This window comes from Homo sapiens, chromosome 20 (genome assembly GCF_000001405.40).
Source record: "Homo sapiens chromosome 20, GRCh38.p14 Primary Assembly".
NCBI lineage: Eukaryota > Metazoa > Chordata > Mammalia > Primates > Hominidae > Homo > Homo sapiens.
In genome coordinates this window covers 33,030,988-33,049,369 of record NC_000020.11, presented here as the reverse complement: position 1 = coordinate 33,049,369, position 18,382 = coordinate 33,030,988, and the positions used below count along the sequence as shown (strand labels likewise).

Genomic DNA, 18,382 nt, shown 5'->3' with positions numbered 1-18,382 from the left:
GGTTGAGAGAGGAGTTGTGGCTTGTTCAAGGCCACACAGTACCCAAGGCCTGGCAAGAAGCCAGGCCTTCAAACCCTAACAGCTTGTGCCTTGGTTTCCCCATCAGCACACTGAGCCTGGAGAGGGTGGCAGCAAGGCTTTAGGTAGCCATAAGTGTGCTGTGGGAACATCCAAGGGTGGGTTGGGGGCAGAGGGGCGTCTCTGGCACGCCCAGGGCCAGGCATCAGCAGCCCATGGATTACCCTGGCATCTGAACCTGCCAGGCCTCCCTCAAGGCTGCCATTGTCCCAGAGCTGGGGAGACGATTAGTGACGGGATTAGAGCTCATGTTGAGGGACAGGGGAATAGCCCTGGCATCTGGGATGAGGCAAGATGGGCCCTCCTTCCTCTGTGGCATGGGCCTGGGCTAGGCTGGGAGAGGGCTTACCTGCCAGGGCCCCATGGCTAGGGGAGCAGTGACCTAATCAGGCCTCTGGCTACACGACACCACCCACACACACATGAATGTGCCCAGACACAGACCCACTCACAAAGACGCCCCCAATCTCCCACATCCAGAGCCTCACCCCAGGGAGACAGACATTCTGACACACACACACACACACACACACACACACACACACACACCCCAACAGACATATGGACACACATAGCCGCCACCCCCATAATTTCCAGGGCTGGGGCACCAGCTGATCATAGGAGGCCCCGATACATTTTTTTCCCCATAGTTAAAGGTTTTTTTTTTGTTTTTTTTTTTGATGGAGTCTTGCTCTGTCACCCAGGCTGGAGTGGTGGTGCGATCTCAGTTCACTGCAGCCTCCACCTCCCAGGTTCAAGTGATTCTCCTGCCTCAGCCTCCAGAGTAGCTGGGACGACAGGCGCGCACCACCACACCCAACCAATTTTTGTATTTTTAATAGAGACGGGGTTTCACCATGTTGGCCAGGATGGTCTCCATCTCCTCGTGATCCGCCTGCCTCGGCCTCCCAAAGTGCTGGGATTACAGGCGTGAGCCATTGCACCCAGTCTAGATTTTTAAAAAAGACATTAAGCAAGTGACACTGATTTGCAGGCTCCACTTAGAAGTCCTTTTCTGGAACCTGCAGTGCGTGTGCGGGGCTGGTGGGTATGTGCACACCTCCTGGTTGCCCCAATGCAGCCCAAGCAGAGGCATTATGGCTGTACCCCTGCGGCCCACCACCCACCTCCTCTTCGACGTGGATGGCCTGCTTCTGGACACTGAAAGGCTCTGTTCAGTGGTGTTTCAAGACATATGTGATCGCTATGAAAAGGAATACACCGGGGATGTGAAGTCCCTGGTCATGGGTAAGAAGGCGTTGGAGGTGGCGCAGGTGGTCGTGGATGTCCTGCAGCTCCTGGTGGAAGAGCTGTTGGAAGAAAGCCAAGCCAGGCCAAGGGATGTGTTCCCCACTGCAGCGCTCATGCCAGGGGGCTGAGAAACTCATCCTCCACCTTCGGAAACACAACATCCCCTTTGCCGTGGCCACCAGCTCAAAGTCTGCATCCTTCGAGGTGAAGACAAGCAGGCACAAGAACTCTTCAGTCTTCCATCACATCATGCTGGGAGACGACCCGAAGTGAAGAGCAGCAAGCCCGACCCTGCCATATTCCTGACTTGTGCCAGGAGGTTCTCTCTTCCTCCTCCTGTGGAGGAGTGCCCTGTCTTTGAAGATGTGCCCAACAAGGTGGAGGCAGCCCTGGACGCCAGGATGCAGGTGGTCATGGTTCCAGATGGAAACTTGAGCCAAGACCTGACCAGAAAGGCCTCCCCGTTGCTGAGTTCCCTGCAGGACTTCCAGCCCCAGCTGTTTGGTTTGCCCCACTACGAGTGAGAGGGAGTCGGAGTCTACATGGTGGTCCTCCTAGGCCACTCTCATGGTCAACACTACTGGGGGAAAGACAGAGGAAGTCGATAACTCCCACATTGCCCCCTACATCACTAGTGATTTTAGCCTCCTGAAGTCTGCCTTTTCATCCCGTGTTGCCTTGACCCACTCTCTAAAGTATTGATAAGACGTAACTTGACAGTTGAGAGAAAACACAGTAGCCCAGAACAAAGATCAAACTTGAATTACCATCTAAAAAATCAATCGGATGTAGCATATGATAAAGTGAATGTACATACATACATATATATTAATATGCATGTAGGCATTATATATATGTATGTGTATATATATATATGTAAAATATATGATTTTCTTAAGACAAAATAATTATATTTGTCCTAAGACAAAATAAAATTATATTTGTGTTTGTTTCTTTTTTTATTTTAGTTTTTCTGAACACTGCCTGGGAAATGTAAACTATCCATATATGTATACAATTTATGTGTGTATGTGTGTGTGTATATATATATATATATACACACATACACATATATTTCTGTCATATACTGCTTCCTCTTCTTGGTGTTAATGTTAACATTGGATAGAACTGATAAAGTGAGATGGTAGTTCTATCTGATTTACAAATAAACCTGAATGGGAAAGTCATGTTTTTGATGAGCACTAAGAAATAATTTTCCTCATTAACTAGCGTTAAAATTATTTTTGTTACCTCAAAATATCTCTGGATCTTTACTCATTGCCTGCCTCTGAGCTGTATCATCAATAGTGTATTTTTCAGCTACTCTTCAACTCTGGAAGCTGTAGATGAACCACAGGAATGCATGTGAAGGACAGAACAAGCCTCTGGCAAATTCGTTTCCACATCCCTGATGGCTTGTGTATGTGTCTGCACTTTGAATTCTCCTTCAAGCTAGATGCAACATCTTACTGTTTCCTTCACAAATTGATTTAGTTTAATCGTTTGACAGATTTTTTTAAAGAATACATTTAAGATGTATTTTAACTTGATTACATGTAAACATAATTTATGTAAAAAAGGAGTCAGTTTAAAGAATAGCATCAGTGTGAATCCCAGGAGAGGCACTGGGGACAGATACGGCAAATGTCAGGGAGCTGATCCTCACATGAATGAAAGACATAGAAACACCCTTGGCACAGACTATGTGCAAGTTAACATGGGAACACAGACACACACAGGCACGGATGGACACCAGGGGCCTTTCACACACAAACCTCCACTCTTGGCCCTGCCTCTGCACAGACCCTCCCACCAGGTCACTCATCCACAGGCTATTTATACACTGATACGTGCGCTGGTTCAGGGCCACATAGTTACTTGCCCACACACCAACACAAAAACACTTGTGCACATCTCTCTGACTCAAAAACCCACCTGTGGCTAACATTTGTTGAGCACTTACTCTGTGCCAGGCACTGTACTAAGTACCTTTTAAGATTTCACTCATGTGATCCTCACAATGACTCTGCTGAGGTTGGTACTGAGGTTTATCGAGGGAACCAGCCCCCAATATTTCAATGTAGGTTCTTTACTATTTTCCCTAAGTAAAAGAGAAAGAGTACAAAAGAAAGAAATTTTACAGCTGGGTCTCCGGAGGTGACATCATATGTCGGCAGGTTCCATGATGCCCCCAAGCTGCAAAACCAACAAGTTTTTATTAGTGATTTTCAAAGGGGAGGGAGTGTATGAATAGGGTGTGGGTCACAGAGATCACGTGCTTCAAAGGCAATAAAATATCACAAGACAAATGGGGGCAGAGCAAGATCACAAGGCCAGGGTAAAATTAGAATTGCTAATGAGGTTCCATGTTCCACTGGGCACACATTGTCATTGATAAACATCTTAACAGGAAACAGGGTTCGAGAGCAGACAATCGGTCTGACTAGAATTTCTCCAGGCTGGAATTTCCCAATCCTAACAAGCCTGGGGGCGCTGCAGGAGACCAGGGCGTATTTCGTCCCTTATGTACAACTGCATAAGACAGACACTCCCAGAGCGGCCATTTTAGAGACCTCCCCCTGAGAATGCATTCGTTTTCCCAGGGTTATTCCTTGCTGAGAAAAGAATTCAGCGATATTTCTCCTATTCGCTTTCTGAAAGAAAAGAAATATGACTCTGTTTTGCCCGGCCTAGCAGGCAGTCAGACTTTATGGTTATCTCCCTTGTTCCCTGAAAATCACTGTTATCCTGTTCTTTTCAAGGTTCCCAGATTTCATATTGTTCAGATACACACGCTTTACAAACAATTTGTGCAGATAACACAATCATCACAGGGTTCTGAGGCGACATACATCCTCAGCTTACGAAGATGACGGGATTAAGAGATTAAAGTAAGGACAGGCGTAGGAAATTATAAAAGTATTGATTGAGGAAGTGATAAATGTCCATGAAATCTTCACAACTTATGTTCAGAGATTGCAGTAAAGACAGGCATAAGAAATTATAAAAGTATTAACTTGGGGAACTGACAAATGTCCATGAAATCTTCACAATTTATATTATATTCTTCTGCCATGGCTTCAGCTGGTCCCTCCGTTCGGGTTCCCTGACTTCCCGCAACAGAGGTTGGTACTGCCATCATTCTCATTTTACAGGTGAGGAAACTAAGGCTCAGATTGGTGATGTGACTTGCCCAGGACACACAGCAAAGAGGAGGCAGAGGAAGGATTTGAACCCAGGCAAGCTGGCTTCACAGCCCAAATTCCAATCCTAGCTCTGCCTCCTGACTTGCCAGGTGGCTTAAGCCAGTCATGCCACCTCTCTGAGCCTCAATCTCATCAGTGAAATGAGGACCTTTCTCACCCCCGTCAACTGCTGTGAGGATTAAAGAAGGTGACACAGGGAAGGCTCCTGGTGTAACAGGTTCCAAGGGAATACAGCCATCTTCAAGTTGCCAAGATTTTGCACACAGCTAAGGTGGGAAGAGCTTTGCCACTTGCTAAACTATGTGACCTTGGACAAGGGAGTTGGCCTCCCTGTGCCTCAATTTCCTCATCTGTAAGGTGGGGATGACACTTGCCCTCCACCAATAGAGTTATTGTGTAGATTAAACGAGATGGTACAAGTAAAGCCCTGGGCATGGCATTGAGCAGGTACTCAATATGTGCCCAAGAACTCCCCCAAGCTGTGACCAGCTTCCCTCCAGATCCCAAGCTGGTCTTAGACCCCAAAACCCACCAAAAGGAAAGAATCGCCACACACAGATTTGTCACTTAAAAAAATAAAGAGACCGAAGTATCAGATATTTATAAGAGCCTTTCTCCTGTTTATTGGCAAGGCTCCAGCCCAGGCCTGACCCATTCACTCCTTGTCAAAGGAGGCAGCCACCAGTGGTAGGGGGCCAGGCCCACCTGGCTCCAATCAGGGGGTCTCCTCCATGGGGTGCAGGTGGTTGGTGGTAAGCAGGCAGCTGGCAGGGGAGTCCTGCCATGGTCAGCCCAGCTTCAAGTCCAGCATCAGGGCATTCTGGCAAAAGGCAAAGGGGTAGGAGAGCAATGACCAGGGACCACCTAGGCCCAGGGATGGAATGGAACTGGGCCCCTTGTCAGGAAATGGAAACCAGTGTGGTGGTTAAGCAAAGGTTGAAGTAGACTTGCCTTGTGACCCTGGAGAGGTCACTTCACCTCTCTTACCCTCAATTTTCTCAACTGTTAAGTGAGGACAAGCACCCCCACCTCCCAGAGCAGAGAGATCAGATAAGAAAAATGTACATTTACCACTCGAAGCTCAAAGGTTGGCATGCAATACAAAGGTAATATTTATTCAGCACTTACTATGTGCCTTTAGGTAAATGATCTTAGTGAAGCATAATAACAGCTCTATGAGGACAATAATGTATTATCATCTCCATTTTATGCACCGGAAAATGGAGACACAGACAGAGGTGAAGTAATTGGCCCAAGATGGCAGGAGAAGAGAGTAGCAGAGTCCAAGTATCCTTCTATGGAATCCCTGGTCAAGGAGTGTTCTAGATTCTGAGGGGCAGGATTATATTGATGGCCACCTGCCCTCCCAGGCTCTACCCTTTCCAGTTTGAGAGAGGTAGGCTCTTGCTCATCACTCACTGGCTGACAGTGTTGATTGACATGACCTCCCCTAGCCCCTCCTCTCACCTCTACTATGTCCAGCTCAGCCAGGTTGTAATTCATGGCCAGAAAGTCCGGGAGTGGGAGCCCCACTTGAAGCACATCTGAGAAATACAGTAAGAGTCATATCAGCCTGACTGCTGTGCAGTTGATTAAGGAGTGGCAGCCTGGGGTAGGGATAGTGGGAAATAGTGCAGTGATTGATTCATGATGCCTGCCAGCTGTACAAGCAAAGAGCTAATAAGCCTGATTTGCAATGTATTTACATCCCAGGTCAAGATGTGGGGTTATGATATGGGGTCAAAAGTCAGAGCCCAAATTGTGGGAGAGGCATTTGTCTTCAGACAGGTGACATTAAGACTATATTCACTTCAAAGATTCAGCAATTATCTTCCACTCCCTTTTAGCTTCCCCCATCTGGGCCCAGTGATAGGGCTTTGAGACCACCCAGGTGGCATCCCTTATTGCTTAAAGTGCTTCTTGGCACCATGGTCCAAAGCCTTTTGGAACCCTCACCATTGACAACTGGGATGTAGGCTTCTTCGAGATAGCTGGTGATGAAGCCAGTTAATTCCCTCTCCTGGAAAGAAGAAAGAGAAAGCATCCACATTCCATTCAGTCCAATACCATTCAACAGATCTTTTCAGCCCTCTCTGGCTAGGCCTGGGGACCACAGAAGTGAATATTAGACATCAAATGGTTTGTCCAGCTGGCATCAAAACTGGGCCTGGCCTTGGCTCTGTTTGGACTGTAGACCCGTGTCCTTCACCTCTGCTTAGTACCTATGACATGTGGGGCTTTGGGCCATGGTGCAGGAACAGGAAAACTCATGAGACAAGAAGTGGCTCTGTGGACCCCAGTCCTGGTCCTACAGAAACTCAGTAGCTTTGATGAGTCCCTCACTTACCACCGCTCTATAGCTGAGTTTCCCCACCTTTGAAAGTGAACTATAATCGCACCTGCTCCCAGGGTTTCCATGAGGATTAAAAGAGTTTGGATAAAGCACATGATCGCAGAGTAAGTGGTGGTGGTGTTGGCACCTCCTGGGGTCAGGTTCTGTGTTGGGCCCTGAGGCTACAGAGACTAATAAAAATAACAGCTTGGCCAACCAAGGCCAACCCAGGCTGCCACTGTTCATGACAATGTTTTTAAAACCAATCCAGGGAGATGTCCAGATTCTATCCAGAAAAGGAAACAGGGATTCAGAGAGGCTAAGGGACTTTCCTAAGCTCACACGGCAAGTCAGGTGCGCCACGCCTCACAGTGGCCTTGCTCTGTTCATCTGCCTCCATTTCAGGGCCTCGGCCCTGTAGTTCCGAGGGAGAATAGGCCCAGTCTTGTCCTCACGCCGGACAGGCAAGAGCACTTGGGACACTTACATTGAAGTTGCCAATCGATGAGGACTTCCGGGACAAGCTCAGTAATCTGTGGGGGAGTGGGGAAGCAAGCCAGGCGGGGAGGGGAAAGAACGGTCAGAGCCAGTGGCCCTGGCGCTGGAGAAGGGGGTCCCAAGCACCCCAACGCCTCCCTGATGCAGGAGTCCCCTCTACAGCCTTCAGACCAGGTGCTCCTGAGTCTGCTTGCCTGCTACCTGTGATGGGACACTCACTACCTTTCGTTACAGCACATGATTTCTCAAAGCTCAAACCACTAGACTGGTCCTGACTCTTCCCTCTGGGACCCCCATTTGTGTCTATTGCTCCTGCCCAAGGCCAGCTATGCAGAGGTTTACAGCCCAACTGGGCAGTCTCAGATCCTTGCAGGACACAGAACAGGAGCCCTTCCCCCAGCCCCGTCCCTGTACAGCCTCCAGGAGGCACTAACATATGTTGCCACCAGAACAGGCCATGTGATGGCCATCTGGTGGCTCTGCTCATCTATTCTCTATTCCAGTAACACATCCTCCATTTTCCACTCTGATTCCAAGTCATTCAGATGGGCTAAACCCAAAGTCCCTCGGGTGAGTCTATGACCCAGAAGCTGCCTGAGAATTTAGTCAACAAAGTGGGTAGCAAAGTCAAGAGGAAGAAGGAGATAGATTCTCAAGGAGTTCATTTGTGTGCCTGGATCCAACCACACCTGAAGGCAGAGCTACCCCTAAAGTTAGGCCGGGTGTGGTGGCTCATGCCTGTAATCCCAGCACTTTGGGAGGCCGAGGCGGGTGGATCATGAGGTCAGAAAATCCAGACCATCCTGGCTAACAGGGTGAAATCCCATCTCTACTAAAAATACAAAAAATTAGCCAGGCGTGGTGGCGGGCGCCTGTAGTCTCAGCTACTCTGGAGGTTGAGGCAGGAGAATGGCATGAACCCGGGAGGCGGAGCTTGCAGTGAGCCGAGATTGCGCCACTGCACTCCAGCCTGGGCAACAGAGCGAGACTCTGTCTCAAAAAAAAAAAAAAAAAAAAAAGAACTACTCCTAAAGTTTTCAGTTATATGAGCCAAGGATTCCCTTTGGGGCTTAAGCCAGTTAAAGTTGGAATTTTCTCTCTTGCAACGGAAAGAATCCTGACATAATTAATCCTGATGTGATTCATTATTAAGGCAAGTACAAGAATTAATAGGGACCGAATGTTAAGCTAAGTTGTTTGTAGTACCCTCCTCCCAAAGTGTAAGAATGAAATAGGATGATGAATATAATGTATGCAGCCAGTGCCTCACATATAGAGAGAGCTCCATAAATAAATGTTAGCTGCTATTAGTATAAGGAAAGGCTTCGTGGAGGAGGTGGCATTTGAGCTGGACCCTGACTCTCAGGTGAATGGCATGGGTAAAGGCTTATTAATGGAAAAGGGGGCATGGGCCCATGACCAGATTCACTGTAAAAGAGCCTAGGGGAAGAGTGAGGGTAGAGGTGGAAGAACTTGAGAAGGGCCTTGAGTACCAGGCTAAGATTTGAGAAAAGATTATGCAGACAATGAGGAGCCATTGAGGGTTCTAGAGCAGGAAAAGTAGCTAGAGCAGCCTGGTAGTTGGGGGTGTGCTGGGTGGATCAGCTCGGTAGTGTGGGGTGTGCTAGATCAGAAGGCCAAATGTGAAGGTAACAGGGATGCCAGCATTGGGCAGCAGGGTCGTACCTGTCCAAAGAAGTGGCCATCTGCAGCTGGTTCTCATGCACTGAGTACTGGACCTTCAGATTGAAGTGCTGGCATGGTGGGGAGGAAGCAGGGAGAAGGCAGTGGGTTCCCCACCATCAGGGCTGGCAAAGCCAGAGACCACCACCCTCCCAGCACTACCACCATTGCCAAGACAAAGCAGGGGATCTTCTCTCTGCCCATCCTCAGGAACTGAACCCAGCCATCTCCCTGTAGCGCCAGCCCAGGCTTCTCATCCCTCCTTGTCCTGAGTCAGGGCAGCATCCCCCAAAATACCTGGCACTGTCAGTAGGTCCCTGCACACATCATACTATTGATCCAGGCCTTTGCACATGCTGGAACCTCTGCCTGGGGTGTCCTCTGTCCCCAGTCTCCCTGGTAAGACTCTCTGTCCCCAACCCTTCTCTGGCAAGCTCCTGCTCAACCTTCAAAACATAGCTCAGCTATCACCTCCTCTTGGAAGCCCTTTGTGATTTCCCCAAATTGGATTTGGGAATCTCCCTAGGCACCCACAGTCCCTTCAGTGCACCCTTCACTGCCTTTGTAGTTGCTGAAGAATGTTGGAGGGAGGAAAGAGAAAGGAAGGACTAAGCCACTGACCCTCCATTTTCTGGGCTTTCCAGCCATTCAAAGGTTCAGTGGCAGAGCCAAGGATCAGACATAATCAAGATTAACTGATCCCTCTGATCCATGACTTGGCTGTCAACTAAAAATCCCATCCTCCAGCCCTGAATATCCAAGAGATTGGGAATAAATGGGGAAGGGAACGATTTCCCTCACCACTTCTAGGAGAAAGAGGGACATTGGAGCCTTGCTCCGCCACCGAGCTGCGAACATCTCCAGGGTGCTGTGGAGGTGCAGCAGGCTCTTGCCTGTCTTCATAGTGACCTTGGGAGGCTTCTTTATCTTGATCTGGGTCGTCAAGGGCTTTGACTTGGGATAAGCTACAGCCACCTACAGAAACCAGAACACTTCACTCAGGGCCAGTCCTTAGACTGGTGGCTTCAGTTGAAATAAGGGGTCCCTCAAGACATAGGTGATTTCTACGTTGGACACAGGAAGTACAACATGCAAAGGCCAGGATGTGTCTATCAGGAAATAAAAGAAACAAAATACACAATTTGGCTATTCTCTATTGGACAGAAAGTACAATGCACAAAAGTAGAGCTGTTTTCTATGTTGGACCCAAAAAGTACTTTATAAAGAAGAAAAGATGTTTCAGCATTGGACAAGGAATATGTGGCATGAAAAGCTGTCTCCCAAGTCCCACTGCAGGACAGACTGGAGGACAATAGGGCAGGACAGGGTGCAGTGGTGATGGGGAGGTGGGGCACTCACTTCAGGAATGAAGCGAGCCAGGGTCTTGGTGGTTTGTGGGGGCAGCTCACCAATCTACAGAATAAAAGTCAAGGTTAGGGTTGCTGGAGTCCTCCCTGGCCCATCCTAACAAACATCTCCACTGACTTAACAAGGTGTACCCTTTGAGGCTCCCTTCATCACAATACTTAACGCTCTGAGTTTAACTAAATATTGTGCCTTCTGGGCAGCCCAGGTGATGACTTACACATTTCAATGCTCATAACTCTTAGCACAAGGTCAAATGCTAAGAAAATGTTGTTGGATGAAAAAGCAGGAAGATAGATGGGAGAATGGGTAGATGTGATGGGTAAAGGGGATGGGTAGACATATTTGGAGATGAATAGACAGATGGATGGGGAAACGGATAAACAGAGGAGTGGGTAAATGGGTGGGAGGATGATGAATGGATGGATGGGTAGGTGGAAATCTAGGAAGAATACATGGATGGATGATGTGTGGACGGAAAGATGGGTGGGTGGATGAATGACAGGAATGGTGGATAGGAGGATGAGTGGATGGGAATATGGTGGAGTAGAATGATAAATGGATGGGAAAATAGATGAATGGACTGATGGATGGGAGGATGGATGGAAAGGTACATGGATGAATGGTAAACAGATGGTTGGGAAGATGAATGGATAGATCAGCGGGGAATGAACGGACATGTGGGTGGATGGTTGGATGGATGGATGGCTGAATGAGTGGACGAGTAGGAGGATGGATAAAGGAAAGTTGGGTGGATGTAGTGGTGTTTGGGTGGTACATGGCAGGTGCATACATTCATTCATTCAACAGTATCAGACTTTGTAGTAGGTGTTATGTGGATGATATGAAGGGATGGATGGATGCTAGTTGGAAGGATAGAACCTAGGGTATGATGAATACATGACAGCTAGAAAGATGAGTGGGTGGGTGTTGCTTGGACAAAAGGAAGGTGGATGGATGACCAAGACATTAGAGATGTAGGTTGATAAATTGTTGGTTGTACGGACTGATGGATGTACAGATGAGTAGATGGTAGTTACATGGACAGAGGGATGGTGGATAGTGAGATGAACTGCTGAGAGAAACTCAAATCGGTCCTGCATCTTCCAGTCCTAGTGTTGCCCACAAGGCCAGGATAATTTTCATGATAGAAAAACTAGGCAGGGACTGCATTGTAATGGACAGAGGCAGATGGAAATGGGGAACTGGACAGCTCACCATTGTATCCTGGATATTCACATGAAAGGACTTCTGCAGAAGGGCAAGCTCTGCAGAGAGGAAGGTGGCTGGGAGCAGCAGCTGCGACGAGCCTTTGGCATAACCCTCAGGGAACGTGAGGGCCTCCCCGGCATCAGCAAGCTTGATGGTTTTGCCCTTTTGCTGCTGCACCACAGGCTATGGGGCAGCAGGAGGGAGACACTCAGCCTTGGCCGAGAGGGATGTTGGCCAGGAGTGTCTCAGTCCTCCAAGCAAATGGGGCTCCAGCCAAACCCAAAGTCAGCAAATCATTAAATCTTATTAAGAGAACCACAATGGGCTACAGTGGGCCAAACCTCCCAGTGTACAGGTGGGTAGACTGAGGCCTGGGAGGATAAGGGAGTCAGTCACTAAACCACGGGCACTTTCTCCTAGCACTGCTTTAGTAGCCTCAGTTGCTCTGAGTGGTTGGAGGCTTCATTTATTCGGAACATGATTTCTGCCTTGTTCTCAAGAGAAAGAGACAGGCGGAAATCGACACGGGGCGTGTAAGAATCCTGCTGGAGGAAGACTTCACAGCGGGGTGACATCTTGCCATTTTACTTCACGTTCCTGAAAGATGCATCTCACCTCTTCGCCTGGAGCTCTGGAGATCTGGGTGAGGGCCCAACTCTGACACCAACTCACTGCAGGACCCTAGCCCAGCCCTACCCTCCCCCAAGGTCTCAATGTTCCCATCCGCAAAATGGCAGGATACAACTGGGTGAGGGTGAGGTGAGAGTGGTGGGGAATGCTGTGCCAAAGATCTCAGGAGGCCAGGTAATGGAGCTGGTGAGGGATGTGGGGTCTCTTCCCTGCCTTGTGCTGTCTTGCTGTGTGGCCTTGGGTAGGTCACTGCTCCTGCCTGTGCCTGGACCTCCTCAGCCATTCACTGGGGACAATATTTGCTTCACTCACTAGGAGAAGCAAACAGCCTAGCGGGGATCATGAGTGTGAAGTCAGCAGCCCCAGAAGCCAGCTGGGGCACTGAAGGTTCGCGTTTAGAGCAGAAAGAGGGAGAGGCCCAGGGTCCACAAACACCCACATGGCATTGGCCTCCACGGCTTGAGGGGCCTCCCTCCCTCCACAGCCCTAGTCCAGCCACCTGTCCTGGCAGAAGCATCACCCACTACCCAGACCAGTGAGCCTGAGACCCCAGCTCCCAGGTGGCCCTAGGCGCTTACACTGAAGTCCAGTTGGATGTAGCTGGCTGTGGTGGCTGGTGCGGACATCAGAACATATTTGACGGTGCCCATCTGGCCCACAGGCATGGGGTCTGTGTGAAAAGGAGGTTCCACTCAAAGAGGCACCAACCCCAGGAACAGCCCAGAGAAGCTGGCACCAGCCAGCTGCTACCTGCACCTGGCCCTCCACGTGACTCAAGGCAAATTCCTTAGCACTTCTGGGCCTCTGTAACTTCATCTGTAGAATAGAGGCCATGGTTCCTGGCCTGGAAAATCACATCACTCAGCCAGCACAGAGCTTGAGAGTTCACCAAAGGCCATCACTGCTTGGACCTTGCAACAGACTGGCATGGTCAGGATTATCAGCTCTATTTCACAGCTAAGCAAACCGAGGCTGAGAAGAGTGAAGTGACTTTTCCCATTCCACACTGCTGGGGACATGAATGAGTTTTCTTCAGTTCCAGTCACTGAGGTTTCCTCTCTCCTGCTTTGGGACCCAAAATGGGACCCCAAAATGATGGAGGCAGTATATCCCCTCAGCAAAGGCGATTCAGGCATTACTACCATCGGGATTACTACATAGGCACGAGGCTTGTGGACGAGCAAAGAAGGGCTGCTGTCTTTGGAGTCTTGTGGGGTTCAGGATGCAGTATTGAATAGGGAGATGAGAGAAAAGGAACCCAGATTCCCTGGGGACTTCAGGCCTCCCATCGGGACAGTGGGGGGATGAACATCATGACCTCAAGCCTCCTCTAGTCCCAAGGCTGGGCTGGAAGCAGGCACTAGGATGGGGAATGGGACATCAAAGTCTATCTATCCTGATATCCCTAGGTAGGGGCAAGGTGTGGGTAGGGCTACACTCACCACTGAGGTTGGTCCACTTCCTGTTCACATACACCAGGACTGCATCGATGGCGGGACACATCTGGAAGCAGAGAAGGCACTGGGCTGAGAGGGTCCCTGCATGGAGAGCCTCCACACAGCTGAATGGTACACCACGGGCCATCCCAAGAGCCCTGGTGGGACAGGGACTGGGGAGAAAACTGAGGTCCCAAGTCCCACAGAAAGTAAATGGCAGAGCTCGGACTAGAGTCCAGATCTGTTGACCAAATCAAAGTCTGCAAAAATTAGCCGGGACTCTTTCCCTGGGACTGGACATCAAAGCACGGTTGGCAAGCTGTGCATGCAGGCTGTCATTTTCTCCTCCTCTGTTCATGGCAGACATCACTAGATGATTGTGGCACTTTCTTCCACTGAGCCAGCCACAGTCTCAGAACCCTTCCCAGCCACTATCAGTCAATCAGGGTCAGCACCCAACATGAAATGCATTTGCCAGCCCTGGCCTAAGCAGTCCCAGCAACGAGGGGTGGAGGCTTTCTCTGGGTCACTCACCAGCCCAGGGAGGACTTTGTGCAGGGTGCTGTCCAGGAACTTGTTGACCATCTTGGGGAGCATGCTAGATGGACACAGGCACCGAGGATAGGTGGGCAGGTGCACCAGTGCAGGAATTTAGGCACAGGACATGAAGGGGCATGGTTAAGGGGGTTCCATGGCTCAGGAAGTGATATGCTGGGGGGTATAGCAATATGGACCGGCCTTCCTCCCCAGCCACAGAGCCCCTCACTTGCTAGGCAGGTTAGTCTTCACATTGACCAGGATGACCTCACAGCCCTCACTCTTGAACACGGGGAGGCCTGTCTCCTCATCCCGCAGAAGCCGGTTGGTGGCTGTGATGTTCAGGGCCACGATGATCTCCATGTTCCCTCCCATGAAGCTGGAGGACAGAGCAGGAGGGCACCATGGGCATCTCTGCCATGGTGTCCGCTCTCCCTGCCTTCTCTTTGCTCACAATCTGAGCAGCTGAGAGGGAGAAAGGGTAGGAGACCACCCCTACAAGACAGAAAAGGGGATGGGACCTGCCCCAGGTGACACAACCAGCTTTTCTCCCTCCCTCCTTGTTTTGGTGAACCCCTACACACCCTTTAAAATCTGCTTTGCTGTCATTGCCTCCCCATAACCTTTTCTGACCATCCGCCACCACTGTTCAATGCTTCCTCTGTCCTAGACCAGTCACTCAGTCTGTGATTGTGCTTAGGTCTGGTTCCTGACAAAGGTAGGGACCAAGTCTACATCATCCCAGATTACAACACTCAGATGGTACACAGTAGGCACTCAATATATGTGCATGTAAGGATGAGACAGGAAGGCCGTTCTCCTCCCCGCTGCCCCTCCCCTGCCACACTCACCTCTTGCCAGTGACGGTCATGCCTGTGGACACACATTGGAAGATGCCCACTCCAGGTACAAAGTTCAGTGTGATGACGGGCAGCTGGACATCCTTCACCTTCAAACTGGGAAGGGACAGGCAGCCACACCAATAAGATCTGAGCAGGCAAGACCCAGGACCTCCACCCACTTCACCACTTTACTGGGAAGACTTTCGATAACCCCGGCCTCCTATCCCATGTCATGGGGGTAAGCATGATTCATGGGGCCATTATGAAATGCAAAACAAAAGGCTGGACATGAATCAATTTGTATATAGAAAGCACTCATTATATGGGAGGTGGGACACATGGCTGACTCTGTGTGACCTTGGGCTGTGTCATTTCCTTATGTGGGCCACAATTTCCCCATCAACAAAATGGGAGGCTTGCTTAGATCAGGGTTTCTCAAAAGTGGCACTATCCACATTTTGGGCAGGATAATTCTTTGTCATGAGGCTGATTTGTGCATTATTGGATGTCTAATAGCATCTCCGACCTCAGCCCAGTAGATGCCAGTAGCATTCCCCCAGTCCCCGCAACTTGTGACAATGAAAAATGTCCCTGGACATTGCCAAATGTCTTCTTGGAGGCAAAATCACCCCTGTTTGAGAATCACCAGTTGAGATCCAGGGTAACAAAAGATGTGGCACACATACCCCCACTTGCCCATCCTGAGCTCTTGGCAGACATTGCTAGTTGATCACAGTCCTAGTTCCTGCCGAGTGCAGACAGTGCCTCAGAGCCCTCCCAAGTGCATCGTTTCAGGCAGCCCCTACTGATCAATCTCATGTGGCACTGGCAGAGGAACCAGTTTCCTCTTGTCATTAGATGATTGTTGATGCCTTTCCAGCTCTACCATTTGAGGATGTTTTCATTTAATTTCACGTACATTCAATGAGTTCATGTTGCATGCAGAGTTGAAATTTGACTTTCCAACCTCATTTCCTCCTCAAAATGACCCTGCTCACTACAAAGCAGAAATTGTCCCCAGTGAATGGCTGAGGAGGTCCAGGCACAGGCAGGAGCAGTGACCTACCCAAGGCCACACAGCAAGACAGCACAAGGCAGGGAAGAGACCCCACATCCCTCACCAGCTCCATTACCTGGCCTGCTAAGATCTTGGGCACAGCAATCCCCACCACCCTCTGCCCTAACCACCACCCTCCAGCTCCCCTCCCCTACTCACTTGGTGATGCCCTTGATAGGTTTCATCCCTGGCTGTTTCTTGCCTGCCTCGGCTGCCATCTTCTCCAGGATATGACTCTCATCCATGGCGCTCTGGACCTCTGGAGTGGAGACACTTAGTTGGAGAGATTTTCCCTGGGCCAATCACTCAGGTATCCCAGGCCACTCACCGTCACTGTGCCCCACCCTGGGCTGGACGATGGCAGAGACCCAGAGATGAGTCCCACAGCGCCCCAGCCTAATGGGGGAAGATGGAGTCACCAGCAATGACAGTAACAAGCTGTAGGAGCCGCACGAGGGTTTAGGTAGGAAGAGAAGAGCTGGGGAAGGCTTCCAGGAGGAGGTGACAGATCAGTTGGTACTTGAAAGGGGAATAGTAATTTTCAGCAGGAAGCAAAGGGATAAAAGATATCAGTCTGGACAGAGGGCACAGCAAGTGCAAAGGTGGGTGGGAGAGAAGGTGGCACAGTTGGGGGAAGAGGATAGATTCAGCATGGCTGGAGGGTGAGGACAGACACGACAGAGAAACTGGAGCAGTTTGCAGGGGGCATGTAGTGAAGCTCTTGAACCCTAGGGTACTGACTTTATCCTGTGGACCAGCCACTCCCAAGCCTAGGTGATTAGGGGACTCCTCTGGGGACTTGAATGCAGACTTTGGGCCTGAAGCAGAGAAATTCTGATTCCCCAAACCTGGAGGACCCAACCCCAAGTAACACCCCGCCAGAAACACCTCCATTATGGTCACAAGCTAATTCCAGAGAGGGCACAAACACTGAGCTGGTAGAACAGTCATTAGCCTTTTGTACCTGGATGTGACTCGGTTTCCCTTGTGCTAGTGGAGTGGGGGATGGAGGTGGAAAACACATTTTACTAAGGTCTCCTCCAAGAGATTATTCTATCCTGCTAGGGACAGACTGGTCACCCTATTTTACATTTCTTTACATTTCACCTTTACAGATGAGCAAACAGCAACACAGGGAGGCCAAGTAACTTGCCTGAGGTCACACAGCAAGTTGTTGCTGGGATTTGACCCTTGTCTGTCACTCCCACAGCCCACTTGTGGCTAAAACCCCTGCCATCAGGGCCAAGGAGAGACTCCAAAGGAGCAGGATTTTCAGCTCTGCCTCTAACTTGCAGGGGGAGCATGGGAAAATCATCCCATTTTCTCTGGTCCTTGGTTTCTCCCCTCTGTAAAGTGGGAGAATAATAATAACACTTGCTTATAAGTTTACTTGGAGCTCACGGGATGCTCCAGGATGTGCAACCAAGAGCAGTGACTACCTACCACCTACCCCAAGCACCGCCTCCCAGCTGCACGCCCGGGCCCACAAGCTCACCACGGTTCATGATGTCCATGCCCAACCGCAGCAGTGCCCCAGGGTCAGCTCGCGTGCCAGTCAGCAGGCTGCAGAGTGCCAGGCACAGGATCCGCAGCATGGCACCACCTGTGCCAAGGGGCCTGAATTGGGCGCAGCCCACCAGACCCTGGTCCCCTTGGGGACCTTCTGTCTCAGAGCAGATTGAGCCCCCTGGGTGTTTCTGGGGTCCAAGAGCCTTTAGACTCCAGCCAGTTCAGCAAACATGAGCACTGCCCTCTTCCAAGGGATTGAGGAACCCCCAGATTAAACACAGGGCCTCCAGCCACCCCCAGCTAGCTCATTTCCCTCTGTAAGCCTCAGTTTCCCCATGGACATGGTGTGTTCTGACCAGCCTGCAAGATGGGGTTGGAGGAAGGTTCAACTGCAGTTTTTCATGGGTTCAAGGACGGCTGAATGCTGGAGCCACAGAGAGAGTTCCAGACTTTCCTTGAGCCCCACACGGCATTGTGGGAGTGGGGAGCCCTGTGTCCCCACCTTGACCCTACAGCCAGGGTCCCTCCCCACCTCTTCCAGCTCAGCTCACTTCCATGTGGAACTCAGAAAGCTCAACTCTGAGCCCTGAAAGGCCTCTTGAGACATCGCCTCTCCGATAGAGAAACTGAGGCACAGACATTAGGTCTCCTAGCATAAGGACCTCCCACCCCAGACCTTTTCAGGTTCCCAGGAAAGCCCTACCCCACCCCGGGCCCATAGAAATCCTTCCCTCTTACTTACCAAG

The 18,382-nt window shown here is 50.1% G+C and overlaps 1 protein-coding gene and 1 pseudogene across 2 annotated transcripts, besides 1 other annotated feature; one reads left to right on the top strand and one right to left on the bottom strand.

The window, feature by feature from the left end:
• On the top strand, positions 1,176-1,850 carry PUDPP3 (pseudouridine 5'-phosphatase pseudogene 3; annotated as a pseudogene).
• On the bottom strand, positions 5,262-17,722 carry BPIFB6 (BPI fold containing family B member 6). Of its 2 annotated transcripts, none has more exons than XM_017027663.1 (15): positions 17,578-17,722; positions 16,287-16,386; positions 15,080-15,184; positions 14,458-14,607; positions 14,226-14,289; positions 13,698-13,758; positions 12,834-12,925; positions 11,632-11,808; positions 10,408-10,461; positions 9,850-10,023; positions 9,052-9,119; positions 7,355-7,400; positions 6,492-6,555; positions 6,003-6,079; positions 5,262-5,355 (listed from the first exon to the last, which is right to left on the bottom strand). In XM_017027663.1, exons 1-15 carry the CDS (start codon positions 17,720-17,722, stop codon positions 5,323-5,325), a joined length of 1,410 nt encoding a protein of 469 aa, XP_016883152.1. In that variant the 3' UTR covers positions 5,262-5,322. The 2 variants fall into 2 exon arrangements, with proteins under 2 accessions (XP_016883152.1, NP_777557.1); NM_174897.2 differs by having other exon boundaries at positions 5,323-5,355; positions 17,626-17,722.
• Positions 7,236-7,737: an enhancer, noted in NCBI's record as "H3K27ac hESC enhancer chr20:31629439-31629940 (GRCh37/hg19 assembly coordinates)". NCBI's record gives its function as "activates a minimal SCP1, AML or CMV promoter by ChIP-STARR-seq in primed H9 embryonic stem cells {active_cell/tissue: H9 hESC(primed)}" and the evidence as "EXISTENCE:reporter gene assay evidence [ECO:0000049][PMID:30033119]".
• Positions 17,723-18,382: the final 660 nt, after the last annotated feature.

What these genes read in the sequence shown, in the direction of transcription:
- BPIFB6 (XM_017027663.1), bottom strand. Translation starts at nt 17,722, where the DNA reads ATGCTGCGGATCCTGTGCCTGGCACTCTGCAGCCTGCTGACTGGCACG. An exon ending in ACAAAGTCCTCCCTGGGCTG is followed by an intron (nt 13,759 to 14,225) that starts GTGAGTGACCCA and finishes CTCTGCTTCCAG; the next exon opens with ATGTGTCCCGCCATCGATGC. An exon ending in CATCGATTGGCAACTTCAAT is followed by an intron (nt 6,556 to 7,354) that starts GTAAGTGTCCCA and finishes TCTTCTTTCCAG; the next exon opens with GAGAGGGAATTAACTGGCTT.